Genomic DNA, 14,279 nt, shown 5'->3' on the forward strand with positions numbered 1-14,279 from the left:
ATAACCTCCCTATCTCCTTTGCTCCTTTCCTCTTTCCATCTCTTCTTCCATCTTTTCTTCCTTCATTTAACAGACATTTATGAAGCTTCTTTTATGTGTATGTGCCAGATAATATTGTAGGTAGAGTGTATAAAATTCTCCTTTTTATACATTTGTAGTTTTCAGTCTAGTAACAGAGCTTAGCCAAATATAGAATTAGCTACAATACCAAACAATATATATTTTTAAATACCATATATAGTGGTACATTAAATGCATGCAGTAGGAATTCTTGAGACAAATGCTAATTTCTATTATGCTTTCTGAAATATCATATTCTACCCAACATATATTCTATTCTTTCTTCCCTAGCATCCTTCCCTACCTCCTGGCCACAGCTACCATATCAAACTTAAATTTACATTTCAAATTAAGATTAGTAATCAAGCAAGCCCATAAATTTAAACCAACATTTCAGTAGCCAAGGTAAACATTTTTGGAACACTGCAGAAGGAGGATCGTGGAATAGTTAAGGCAAAGATAATGAAAGCTATTTCCCAGAAAAAGATGGGAGAAACTAAATGATACATTTTAGCTTTATCCCAAAATTAATTTAGAATTTCTCATTTTATAGTCCAATCATTCAAGTATTAAAAAATCCTTCTATAAAAAATTTGTTATGAAATGTTTCATTCAGCCCAGGAGTGAAATTTTTCCTGTGTTCAAGAAAAAGTGAAAAGAAAAACAACAGATGTTGAATTATAGGAATAAAAATTTCAGATGGTTTATTTTCTTTGGAATTCATGTAATTTTAGGACAGATCCATTTATTTAAATTACATTTTGCAGATGGGTTATCTGAGAAGAGATTATTCTTAGGAGAGGAGAAAAATACAATAAAAAAAGGAAATGTGACTTCTCTTCTGCTGACTCCTCATGTTTTTGGGCAAGAGCTTCCTCATGAATGGATTGTTTTCTTTAGCTACACTTGTACCAAACATGTCAAGGCCTTACCTCCACTAAAAAGCACACACACCTGCCTCTCGAACACCCGGTTGAATCAAATCCTTCTACTTTTGACAATCAAGTTTTCTTTTATGCAGGTTTGTACGCTGTCATTCTCTGTATGAGCTGCTTCTTCCGTGACAGTAAAGTTCAATTTAAGAAGAAAAAAATCCTGCATGCCTTTCATACTGAATAAACCTTCTTTTCTTACCTGATAAAGTAAAAAAAAAAAAATCTTAAGAAAGAACTTTGTGAATAATCTTGCTTTCAAAAGGGAATTTGCTGGAAGCAATTGTATAAATTCCAATCATACTTCCTTATGACTGTTCTCTTCTACTCTATTTTTCTTGGGTGCTCTGGTATTTTTATTTGTCTTTTTTGGTATCTCAATCTCTCTGTTCCTCTTGATCTCTCTGTCTTCTACCTCCATTTCAATTCCACCTTCTGATTCTCAGTCGTATTGGCTAACATATTTATCTCTGTGGTAATGAAACTTATGCATGACATGTACTTTCTCTCAATAACAGACTTTCAGATTCAAAATCTAAAGCCTGTTTTGGTGTTTTACTGAAATTTAAAAGGAATTTAAAAGGAATGGGAAGCCCCTTAGCAACAAAATTGGCTTTTAACCAAGCTGTCTCTACCTATAACAATTTGCTTTTAAATATATTTTTAAAACTTCAATAGCTCTTGGGGGTACAAATGGTTTTCCATTACATGGATAAATTATATAGTGGAAGGCTGATATTTTAGTGCATCCAAGTGTTGTACATTGTACCCAATATGTAGTTTTTTTATTCCTCACCCCTCCTCTACCATGCCACCTCTGAGTTTTCATAGTCTATTACATCACTCTCTATGCCTTTGTATTCCCATAGCTTAGCTTCCACTTATAACTGAGAATTAAAGAAAAGAACACAGGATATACAAAACAAACAAAAAATTAATTTAATCCTGTGTTCTTTTCTTACCCGCTTATTCATGATTTTCGTTTGGTTGTTTCATGTAGTGGTAGCATTTATGTCCTTTCTCTTTTAACTGGATAGGTCAACCAGAGACAAGATAATAAGAAAGTAGAAGACAAGATAAACAATATAGACCAAATAAACCTAACAGATATACAGAACACTCCACACACACTCATTGGAAAAATACACATTTTTCTAAACTGCAGTTGGAACATTAGCCAGAATAGATTACATGTAAGGACACAAAACAAGTCTTATCAATAGAGAACCTGGGCATTCACATATTTGTGGAAATTAAACAATGTACTCTTGAACAATCCATGGGTCAAATATGAAAAATTTCATGCACGTCCCTGTGAAGAGACCACCAAACAGGCTTTGTGTGAGCAATAAAGCTTTTAATCACCTGGGTGCAGGCGGGCTGAGTCCGAAAAAAGAGTCAGCGAAGGGAGATAAGGGTGGGGCCGTTTTATAGGATTTGGGTAGGTAAAGGAAAATTACAGTCAAAGGGAGTTTGTTCTCTGGCAGGTAGGAGTGGGGGTCGCAAGGTGCTCAGTGGGCAGGAGTGGGGGTCGCAAGGTGCTCAGTGGGGGTGATTTTTGAGCCAGGATGAGCCAGGAAAAGGACTTTCACAAGGTAATGTCATCAGTTAAGGCAAGGACTGGCCATTTACACTTCTTTTGTGGTGGAATGTCATCAGTTAAGGCGGGGCAGGGCATATTCACTTCTTTTGTGATTCTTTAGTTACTTCAGGCCATCTGGGCGTATATGTGCAGGTCACAGGGGATGTGATGGCTTGGCTTGGGCTCAGAGGCCTGACATTCCTGCCTTCTTAATAAGAAAAATAAAACAAAATAGTGTTGAAGTGTTGGGGCGGCGAAAATTTTTGGGGGGTGGTATGGAGAGAGAATGGGCGATGTTTCTCAGGGCTGCTTCAAGCGGGATTAGGGGCGGCGTGGGAACCTAGAGTGGGAGAGATTAAGCTGAAGGGAGGTCTTGTGGTAAGGGGTGATATTGTGGGGATGTTAGAAGAAACAGTTGTCATATAGAATGATTGATGATGGCCTGGATACAGTTTTGGATGAATTGAGAAACTAAATGGAATAACAGAAGGAGAAAAACAGGTATAAAATGTCTAAGAATTGGGATGACTCAGGATATCTGATTAGAGAGTGCTTAAGGAGATTCAGCATAGTCCTGCCAGCAAAGATTATTTATTTACTTCAAGAGTTAAGAGTGGCAGTCTGGGGATAGCACCAGGAGATATCAGCTGTGATGGCTTGGAAAAGCAGTGTAAACTGGCAGTGTAAACAAGAGCAGGGCATGTATGAGTAGTTGAGAACGGTGAATAGGAGTATGACTAGACAGAAGATAGTAGGGATGACAAGTTTTTTTGGGGCACAGTCTGAGTTGGTCTGGTGTCTAGAATGAGACTGGGGCCTAATAAAAAGGAGCGTCTATACAGGAGCTCAAATGGGCTGTACCCTGTAGCATTCCAAGGACAGGCCTGAATTCTGAGAAGGGAAAGTGGTAAAAGTATTGTCCAGTCCTTTTTAAGTTGGTGGCTGAGCTTGGTGAGGTGTGTTTTTAAAAGACCTTTAGTCCATTCTACTTTTCTTGAAGATGGAGGACCGTAAGGGATATAAAGGTTTCACTGAATACTAAGAGCCTGAAAAACTGCTTGGCTGTTTTGACTAATAAAGTCCCTTCTGTTATCAGACTGTATTGAGGTGGGAAGGCTAAACTGAGGAATTATGTCTGACAGAAGGGAAGAAATGACTGCGGTGGCCTTCTCAGAACCTGTAGGAAAGGCCTCTACCTATCCAGTGAAAGTATCTACCTAGACTAAGAGGTATTTTAGTTATCTGACTCAGGGCATGTTGAGTAAAGCTAATTTGCCAGTCCTGGGTGGGGCAAATCCTCGAGCTTGATGTGTAGGGAAGGCAGGGGGCCTGAATAATCCCTGAGGAGTAGTAGAATAGCAGATGGAACACTGAGAAGTTATTTCCTTGAGGATAGATTTCCACGATGGAAAGGAAATGAGAGGTTCTAAGAGGCGGGCTAGTGGCTTGTACTATAGCATAACCTGCCTTTGCTGGTGTGTGGTGATTAGGCCTGGTGGAACTGCCATCAATAAATTAAGTGTGATCAGGGTGAGGAACAGGAAAGAAGGAAATTTGGGGAAATGGGGTGAATGTCAGGTAGATCAGAGAGATACAGTCATGGGGGTCAGGTGTGGTATCAGGAATAATGTGGGAGGCCAGATTGAAGTCTGGGCCAGGAACAACAGTAATTGTGGGAAACTCAACAAAGAGTGAGTATAGCTGAAGGAGCCGGGAAGCAGAAAGTATATGCATCAGGTATGAGAAAGAAAATAGATTTTGGAAGTTATGAGAACTGTAGAGAGTGAGTTGAGCATAGTTTGTGATTTTGAGGGCCTCTAAAAGTATTAATGCAGCGGCAGCCACTGCACGCAGACATGAGGGCTAGGCTAAAACAGTAAGGTCAAGTTGTTTGGACAGAAAGGCTACAGGGTGTGGTCCTGGCTCTTGTGTAAGAATTCTGACCACGCTAACCATGCCTAGGAAGGAAAGGAGTTGTTGTAGAAGGTGCTGGGGTTTGAGAGATCAGTCGGACATGATTGGCAGGGGGAGCACGTGTGTTTTTATGAGAATTATGCCGAGATAGGTAACAGATGAGGAAGAAATTTGGGCTTGATTGAAGTAATGGGGGCTGTCTGTGAAGCTTTGCAGCAGTACAGCCTAGGTAATTTGCTGAGCTTGATGGGTGTCAGGGTCAGTCCAAGTGAAAGTGAAGAGAGGCTGGGATTAAGGTGCAAAGGAATAGTAAAGAAAGCATGTCTGAGATCTAGAACAGAATAATGGGTTGTAGAGGCAGGTATTGAGGATAGGAGAGTATGTGGGTTTGGCACCACAGGGTGGATAGGCAAAACAATTTGGTTGATAAGGTGCAGATCCTGAACTAACTTGTAAGGCTTGTCTGGTTTTAGGACAGGTAAAATGGGGGAATTGTAAGGAGAGTTTATAGGCTTTAAAAGGCCATGCTGTAGCAGGCGAGTGATAACAGGCTTTAATCTTTTTAAAGTGTGCTGTGGGATGGGATATTGGCGTTGAGCGGGGTAAGGGTGATTAGGTTTTAATGAGATGGTAAGGGGTGCATGATCGGTCGCCAAGGAGGGAGTAGAGGTATCTTATACTTGTGGGTTAAGGTTGGGGGATACAAGAGGAGGATGCAAAGGAGGCTTTGGATTGGGAAGAAGGGCGGCAATGAGATACAGCTGTAGCCCAGGAATAGTCAGAGAAGCAGATAATTTAGTTAAAGTGTCTCAGCCTAATAAGGGAACTGGGCAGGTGGGGATAACTAAAAAGGAGTGCTTAAAAGAGTATTGTCTAAGTTGGCACCAGAGTTGGGGAGTTTTAAGAGGTTTAGAAGCCTGGCCGTCAATACCCACAACAGTTATGGAGGCAAGGGAAACAGGCCCTTGAAAAGAAGGTAATGTGGAGTGAGTAGCTTCCGTATTGATTAAGAAGGGGACGGGCTTACCTTCCACTGTGAGAGTTACCTAAAGCTCGGCATCCGTGATGGTCTAGGAGGCTTCCGAGGCGATCGGGCGGTGTCAGTCTTCAGCCGGTAAGCCAAGAAGGAGTCAGTCAGAGAGCCTTGGGCCAGAGTTCCAGGAGCTCTGGGAGTGGCTGCCAGGTGAGTTGAACAGTCCGATTTTCAGATGGGACGAGGCTTAGGAGGAATCCCGGGCTGCGGGCATTCCTTGGCCCAGTGGCCAGATTTCCAGCATGTGTAGCAAGTTCCTGGGGGAGGAGTTTCTGGAGGAACGCCTGGCTGCTACAGTTCAGGCGTTTGGAAGTTCTTGTGTGCTGGAGATGTGGCTGGCGTTTGTCTCACAGTGGAGGCAAGGAATTGCAACTTTTTTCTGTTATTGCACACCTTGAAGGTGAGGTTAATTGAGTCCTGTTGTGGGGTTTGAGGGCCAGATTCCAGTTTTTGGAGATTTATTTAATGTGGGGAGCAGATTGGGTAATACAATGTATATTGAGAATAAGATGGCCTTTTGACCTTTTAGGGTCTAGGGCTGTAAAGCGTCTCAGGTTTGCTGCCAAACAAGTCATGAACTGGGCTGGATTTTTATATTTGATGAAAAAGAGCCTAAACGCTATCTGATTTGGGATAAAGAAAAAGGAGCATTAACCTTGACTATGCCTTTAGCTCCAGCCACCTTTTTAAGAGTAAATTGTTGGGCTGGTGGGGGAGGGCTAGTCACAGAATGAAACTGTAAGCTGGAGCAGGTGTGAGGTGGGGAGGCGATAAAAAGATTATAGGGTGGAGGAGTGGAGGCTGAGGAAGAATCGGGACCTAGCTCGTCCTGGGGAGGAAGGGAGAGGTCAGATGGGTCTGTAGAAAAGGAAGATTAGAAAGACTCAGTGACGCTTGGGGTTGGGACTGAGGGGACAGGCGGGAGGGAAAGAAGGAAGATTTGGGACGAGTTGCACTGGGCACAGAGACTAGGAAGGGACTGATGTGTAAAAGAATGCCTGGATGTCAGGCACCTCAGACCATTTGCCCATTTTACGACAAGAATTATTTAGATCTTGTAGGATGGAAAAATTGAAAGTGCCATTTTCTAGCTATTTGGAAATACTGTTAAGTTTGTATTGGGGTCAAGCAGCATTGCAGAAGAAAATAAGACGCTTAGATTTTAGGTCAGGTGAGAATTGAAGAGGTTTTAAGTTCTTAAGGATACAGGCTAAGGGAGAAGAAAGAGGAATGGAAGGTGGAAGCTTGCCCATAGTGAAAGAGGCAAGCCCAGAGAAAAGAGTAGAGACACGGAGAAGGGGTGGGGGTTTCTTCCCCTCCAGAAAAGCAGAGAAAGGGTTGGGACATGGAAATAAGGGATTAGGGCACAAAGAGGTCAGGGTGCAGAAATAAGGGATTGGGGTGCAGAGGGAAGAGGTTGGGGTGCAGAAATAAGCGATTGGGGCTCAGAGATAAGAGGTTGGGGTGCGGAAATAAGCAATTGGGGGGTTCTTGCCCCCTAGGAAAGTGGGACTTGCCGCTAAGGGTGAAGGAGAAGGGGTTGAGGGGTACTTGCCCCTGCCCCAGGAAAGCGGGACTTGCCACTAAGGGTGAAGGAGAAGGGGTTGAGGGGTACTTGCCCCTGCCACAGGAAAGCGGGACTTGCCGCTAAGGGTGAAGGACCAAGGCAGGCGTCCCTGTGTGGTCTGACACCCTTGAAATGTGAGTATATAATCAGAGAGGTGTCCCTGCAATGATTAAACACCAAGGGAAGGCTGCCTTCCCAGTCCATGACCGGCGCCGGAGTTTTGGGTTCACGGATAAAACATGTCTCTTTTGTCTCTACCAGAAAATGAAAGGAATTGAAATTAAGAGAAGGGAGAGATTGAAGTGTGGCACCAAGATTGAAAGGAGAAAGAGGTTGAGGGATAGTGAGGGAGGTTGGAGAAGAGAGTAAAAAGAGGCCGCTTACCGGATTTGAAATTGGTGAGATGTTTCTTGGGCTGGTCGGTCTGAGGACCTGAGGTCGTAGGTGGATCTTTCTCATGGAGCAAAGAGCAGGAGGACGGGATTGATCTCCCAAGGGAGGTCCCCCGATCCGAGTCACGGCACCAAATTTCATGCGCGTCCGTGTGAAGAGACCACCAAACAGGCTTTGTGTGAGCAATAAAGCCTTTAATCACCTGGGTGCAGGCGGGCTGAGTCCGAAAAGAGAGTCAGCGAAGGGAGATAAGGGTGGGGCCGTTTTATAGGATTTGGGTAGGTAAAGGAAAATTACAGTCAAAGGGGGTTTGTTCTCTGGCGGGCAGGAGTGGGGGTCGCAAGGTGCTCAGTGGGGGTGCTTTTTGAGCCAGGATGAGCCAGGAAAAGGACTTTCACAAGGTAATGTCATCAGTTAAGGCAAGGACCGGCCATTTACACTTCTTTTGTGGTGGAATGTCATCAGTTAAGGTGGGGCAGGGCATATTCACTTCTTTTGTGATTCTTTAGTTACTTCAGGCCATCTGGGCGTATATGTGCAGGTCACAGGGGATGTGATGGCTTGGCTTGGGCTCAGAGGCCTGACAAAAAATATGAATACAACTAAAAATAGGAAAATATATTGATTGCTTCTTGGGAGTTTGTCTAAGATAAAGCAGTAATAATCTTTTTTGTGAAAAGTATTTATTTCGGAACAAAAGTGTTTTCAGAGGGATAATGGTTAGAAGGTAAAATTTACAATTTTAACGGAATGATTAGAAGGTAAAATTTACAATAAATGTTTGTGCTCTAGAATCTTAATTTAAATTATGCAAATCTGTGAAATGATTAAGTAAATGGAAAGCCATAGCATTTATGAAAAATCCTATTTCACCTATTTGTTATAGCTTCTGATGAAAAGGTTTGCTGACATAGTGATTTTGGCCAGTTGTTTGAAGTATTTCTTTTTTTTTCTTTTCTTTTTATTATTCTTTAAGTTTTAGGGTACATGTGCACAATGTGCAGGTTTGTTACATATGTATACATGTGCCATGTTGGTGTGCTGCACCCATTAACTCGTCATTTAGCATTAGGTATATCAACTAATTTAAAAATCTTAAGAGAAATAAAAATAGAAATACAATATACCAAATCTTATGGGATGCAGCAAAATCAGTACTAAGAGGGAAATTTTAGAAAGTGGATATCTGCATTTAAAAGGAAGAAAAATTTTAAATTAACAACCTAACTTTATACCACGAGGAACTAGAAAAAGAAAAGTAAACTAAGCACCAAACTTCATGCAAAGAAATAATAAAGATTAGAATAGAAATAAACAAAATAAAGAATAGAAAAACAATAGAAAAATATGAAACTGTGTGCTGTTTTTATTAAAGTTAGACTAAATTTACAAACCCATAGCTAGAACAGAAACAAAAAGATAAGATTCAAATAAATAAAACTGGAAATGAAAGAGAAGGCATTACAACTTATGCCACAAGAGAAGAAAAAGGATGATAAGAAACTACCATAACAATTTCATTCTAACAAATGGGAAAACTTAGAAGGAATGCATAAAGCCTTGAAATGAGTATTCTAGAAGCATCAACCTACCAATGCTGACTTATGCAGAAATAAAAAAATCTGAAGCGACTTATAACTAGTAAGAAGATTGAATCACTAATTAATAGATTCATTGCAATCCATAGAAAAATCTCCATGGAATTTTTTTGAGACACAGACAAAAAATGTTTTAAAACTATATGGAATCTCAAAGAACCCTGGATAACAAAAACACACTTGAGGGAAAAAAAATAAAACAAAGTGTGGCTCATGCCTGTAATCCCAGCACTTTGGGAGGCCAAGGCAGGTGGATCACGAGGTCAGGAGATCAAGACCATCCTGGCTAACATGGTGAAACCCCGTCTCTACTAAAAATACAAGAAAAATTAGCGAGGCGAGGTGGCGGGCACCTGTAGTCCCGGCTACTGGGGAGGCTGAGGTAGGAGAATGGTGTGAAACCCGGGGTGCAGAGCCTGCAGTGAGCCGAGATCGCGCCACTGCACTCCAGCCTGGGCGACAGCAAGACTCTGTCTCAAAAAAAAATAAAAAATAAAATAAATAAATAAATAAAACGAAGCTGTAATCCTCATACTTCCTGATTTTGAAACATATTACAAAGCTACAGTAATCAACAATATAATATTGGCATAAGACAGAAATGGATCAATGAAATGGAATAGAGGTCCCAGAAATAAGCTTTTATTCATATGGTATAATAGTCTTTTACAAGGGTACCAAGGCTTTACAATAGTGAAATAATTGTCTCTTCAACAAATGGTGTTGAAACAACTGAATATCCAGCATGAAAAAGATTGAATTTGGACCCTTACTTTACATTGCACACAATGTATACATATATAAATTATGTATGCAAACGTATTATGATAGTTAAGACTGAGTGTCAACTTGATTGGCTTCAAGGATGCAAAGTATTGATCTGGTTGTGTCTGTGAGGGTGTTGCCAAAGGAGATTAACATTTGACTCAGTGGGCTGGGGAAGGCAGACTCACTCTTAATCTGGGTGGGTACCATCTAATCAGCTGCAAGTGAACACAAAACAGGAAGAAAAATGTGAAAAGGCTAGACTGGCTTAGCCTCCCAGCCTACATCTTTCTCCCATGTTGGATACTTCCTGCCCTCAAACATCAGACTCCAAGATCTTCAGCTTTGGGACTTGGACTGGCTTCCTTGATTTTCAGCTTGCAGACAACGGGTATATTTTTATGTGTGTGTATGCATATATATACATATATATATATATGTATGTATATATGTACTGTCCCTCTAGAGAACCCTGACTAATAGAGATTTTGCTACCAGGAGTGGTTCTAGAAGAACAGAATATTAAAGATGGAGTTCATTTGCTGGTTTTGGGGTTCCTGCAGTGGGCTGCTTAATATTATTAGATCCCAAAATGCTAAGGACTCCACTTCTAATTGTATAGAGATCACTGACAGTCCTTGGCATGAACTGCTTAGAGAGTTATGCAAAATAAATGCATTTGACACTCCTGATTCACTGCTAGTGAGAGGCAATGTGTTTAGTGACTCTACACGTAATACCTTTGACTATATGTGGAGAACCAAGGAACATAGTGAATCTGGTTGGTTGCTCCTAAGTTCACTGGACAAACGGATGAAAGATTGAGATCTTTCTCTGAGTTTGACTCAGAGATTCAAACTCCCAGTTTCAGAAACAGATGCTGAGCTTCAGATATTCAAGATTGCCCTGAATCAGAGTCCTATCTCCTGTAGAGAAAGAGCTGAAATTCTGGAAATTTAGACACAAGTTCTTATCAAGTGAATGGCTGACCTGCAACAAAAGGTTGCATATATATATATGGCTAGCATAGTACACCATGTACAAATTACACATTGTACAAATTATATACTGTACATTTTTAAATAGCTGAAAGTAACTTTCAAATGTTCTTTTGAAAACAAAATAAAGTTATTTCAGAATTTGTTACTGCTTTCACAATGGCTAAACTAACTCACCTTCCAACTACACTACAGAGCAGTGAGACAGTCACAAGTTGTAACCCATAGTTTTTTTCTCTTTGACCTACAAGCTCAGAGTGGTAAATTGGCAAATTACATTAGAGAAAAGTGGCTGGAAAGGGAGGCAATACCTTAATGACTTTTTTCTTCTCTGTGATGTTGGCCACTCAATTCCTGAATGCCTCAGTTTCTTTTTCTTCCTTTTGTTTTTGTAGATGTTCTAGTTGGGTAGACTGGTCTAGGCTGATTATAGCCCCAAACTGGAACTTTTCATAACATATTTTGTGCTCAAAGTGCTTAAGATCATTTACTATGCTCTGTTTAAATTATTAATAATCATATTATTCTGCTTCTGCTTAAGACCATTTACTATGCTCCGTTCAAATTATTAATAATCACCATTAATGAGAGAAAACTGGTTTGCACAAGTGGGTGATTTTTTTATTAAATGTTATTCTTACTACCTTTCAAATTTTTACAAACATTGAAATTATTAATTTTACTCTAATATCTGTTCTTGTTCATTCACTGACAAATTTAATGTTGTAAATTGCTGTGATAATATAAACAGATTTTAAATTCATTCTTTCTAATGCCAGGTATTTTGATATGCAGTATGGATGAATGGCAAATTTTGTAGACTGCACATGCATTATTAGAGCTGTCACTTTAAGTGAGTATAATATTAGACATTATTAATCATACATATGTGAAGACAAAATAATATTTAAGTGTTTACCCTAAACTTTAGTTAGACTAATCAACTACTAAACTACTGAAATCAGATGAAAGGGGGACTAATGGTAGTAATCTAACTAACCTTACAGAAATACAAAAATAAAAAAGAATTTTTAGAAATACTATATGCCAACAAATTAAATAACGTGGAAGAAATAGACAAATTCTTAGAAAGACACGAACACGAACTACTTGAATTCACTCAAGAAGATATAAGATGCTTCCTCAACCTGCTCCTTCTGAAATGGTCAACATGTTATAATAAGAGTTCAAGTAAAGTGTTACAGGGTGCTTAACACAAAATTATTTAATTTCAACTGAGAGAATCAGTGTGAGTTTAATATAGGCTGAGTTGAGGTAAGTGTCAATAAGTAAAAAGAAATTTTGTCAGATAGGGAATGCATTTCAGATGGTTCAAGGAGCCAAGAATGAAGTCATGGCCATAAGAGCATATATTGCTTGCTTGTTAAACATTGGGGGCCATGTGTCTGGAGCCTGGATGTATGGAAGGCTCTAGTTAAAGATTAGATATTTAAAAGGTAGATTGGGTCTACTGGATTGTTAGATTTGCCAGAGCAATTATTCAAGAGAAAGAAATGAAGTGCATCCAAATTGGAAAGGAAGAAGTCAAATTGTCCCTGTTGGCAGATGACATCATCTTATATCTAGAAAAAACAAAAGATTCTACCAAAGAACCCCACTTGGAACTGATCAATGAATTCAGTAAAGTTGCAGGATACAAAATTAATAAACAAAAATTAGTAGCTTTCCACACACGAACAAGAATCTAGCTGAAAAAGAAATCAAGAAGACAATGCCCTTTGTAATAGCTACAAAAATACCTAGGAATAAATGTAACCAAAAAGGTGAAAGACTTCTTTAAGGAAAACTACAAAACACTGTTGCAAGAAATTGAAGAGGATACAAAACAAATAGAAAAACATCTCATGTTCATGGATTAGAAGAATTAATATTGTTGAAATGACAATATTACCCAAAGCAATCCACAGATTCAATGCAATCTTTATCAAAATACCAATAACATTCTTCACAAAATTAGAAAAAATCCTAAAATATTTTGGAACCACAAAATACTCCAAATAGCCAATGTGATTCATAGCAAAAAGAACAAAGCTGGAGGTATCATACTTTCAGACCTCAAATTATACTACAAGGCTATAGTAACCAAAACAGCATGATACTAGCATAAAAAGAGACACAAAGGGCAATGGAGCAGAGTAGGTAACATAAACATTAATCGACATATCTACAGCCCACTGATTTTTGACATAGTGCCAAGGACATTCATTGAAGAAAGGATTGTCTCGTCAATAAGCAGTGCTTAAGAACAAAACATAAAGAAAATGCTACAGGAAATTGGCCTGGGGGAAAAAATTGTGAATAAGACCTTTAAAATAGAGGCAATGAAAGCAAAAATAAATAGAGTAAAACAAATTAAAAATCTTCTCCACAGCAAAGCAAACAAGCAACAGAGTGAAATGACAGCCTATAGGATGGAAAAAGAATCTTTGCAAGCTACTCGTCTGACAAAGGATTAATATCCAGAACTTTCAATGAACTCAAACATGTCAACAACAACAACAAAATATCTGATTAAAAATGAGCAAATGATCTGACCAGACATTTCTCAAAAGCAGACATACAAATGGTCAACAAATATATGAAAAATAAAATGCTCAACATCACTAATCATCAGGGAAATGCAAATCAAAACCATAATTGAGTATCATTTCATTCAGTTAAGATGACTATTATCAAAAAGTCAAAAAATAGTAAATTGTGGTAAGGATGCAGAGAAAAGGGGATTCATACACTGTTGGTGGGAATGTAAACTTGTACAGCCACTACGAAGAACAGCATGAAGTTCTTAAAAAATTAAAATATAACTACCATATATACATATAACTACCATAAAATATAACTACCAGCAATCCCAGTACTGGGCAGGTATCCAAAGGAGAGAAAGTCATTATAATGAAGGTTCATCTACACCTCCGTGTTTATTGTAGCACTATTCACAATACTGAAGATGTGGAACCAACCTAATGTTCATTAACATATGAATGGATAAAAAATGGAGTATATATTCACAATGGAATACTATTTGGCCACAAAAAAATGTAATCCTCTTATTTGTGGCAACATGGATAAAATTGGAGGATATGTTAAGTGAAAGACGTGTCAGGAACAGAAAGCTAAACAGTGGATATTCTCATTCATATGTGGAAGTTAAAAAAAAAAGCTGACCTTATAGAAGTGAAAAGCAGAACAGAGAATACTAGAGGGTGGAAAGGATAGGAGGCAAGGAGGGACAAGGAAAGATTTGTTAAAGGACACAAAATTGCAGCTAGATAAGAGGAATAAGTTCCAGCATTATATAGCACTGTAGTTAATAACTGTAGTTAATAATATATAGTTTTGAATAGCTAGAAGGAGGATACTTGAAATATATCCTACAGGATAACCATAGTTAATAATATATAGTTTCAAATAGCTAG

At 39.1% G+C, this 14,279-nt stretch overlaps 1 long non-coding RNA gene across 1 annotated transcript, besides 3 other annotated features; it reads right to left on the minus strand.

Annotated features, from left to right (window-relative positions):
• Positions 1-775: 775 nt before the first annotated feature.
• LOC100126447 (uncharacterized) lies at positions 776-7,705 on the minus strand. Its single transcript, NR_145523.1, has 2 exons — positions 7,473-7,705; positions 776-1,194 (listed from the first exon to the last, which is right to left on the minus strand). It is a non-coding gene; the product is annotated as an uncharacterized LOC100126447 (long non-coding RNA).
• Positions 2,089-2,865: an enhancer, noted in NCBI's record as "OCT4-NANOG-H3K27ac hESC enhancer chrX:115946212-115946988 (GRCh37/hg19 assembly coordinates)". NCBI's record gives its function as "activates a minimal SCP1, AML or CMV promoter by ChIP-STARR-seq in naive and primed H9 embryonic stem cells {active_cell/tissue: H9 hESC(naive and primed)}" and the evidence as "EXISTENCE:reporter gene assay evidence [ECO:0000049][PMID:30033119]".
• Positions 6,744-7,547: an enhancer, noted in NCBI's record as "NANOG-H3K27ac hESC enhancer chrX:115950867-115951670 (GRCh37/hg19 assembly coordinates)". NCBI's record gives its function as "activates a minimal SCP1, AML or CMV promoter by ChIP-STARR-seq in primed H9 embryonic stem cells {active_cell/tissue: H9 hESC(primed)}" and the evidence as "EXISTENCE:reporter gene assay evidence [ECO:0000049][PMID:30033119]".
• Positions 7,548-8,350: an enhancer, noted in NCBI's record as "OCT4-NANOG-H3K27ac hESC enhancer chrX:115951671-115952473 (GRCh37/hg19 assembly coordinates)". NCBI's record gives its function as "activates a minimal SCP1, AML or CMV promoter by ChIP-STARR-seq in naive and primed H9 embryonic stem cells {active_cell/tissue: H9 hESC(naive and primed)}" and the evidence as "EXISTENCE:reporter gene assay evidence [ECO:0000049][PMID:30033119]".

The sequence above is a fragment of the Homo sapiens genome, chromosome X, assembly GCF_000001405.40.
Source record: "Homo sapiens chromosome X, GRCh38.p14 Primary Assembly".
NCBI classification, from domain to species: domain Eukaryota; kingdom Metazoa; phylum Chordata; class Mammalia; order Primates; family Hominidae; genus Homo; species Homo sapiens.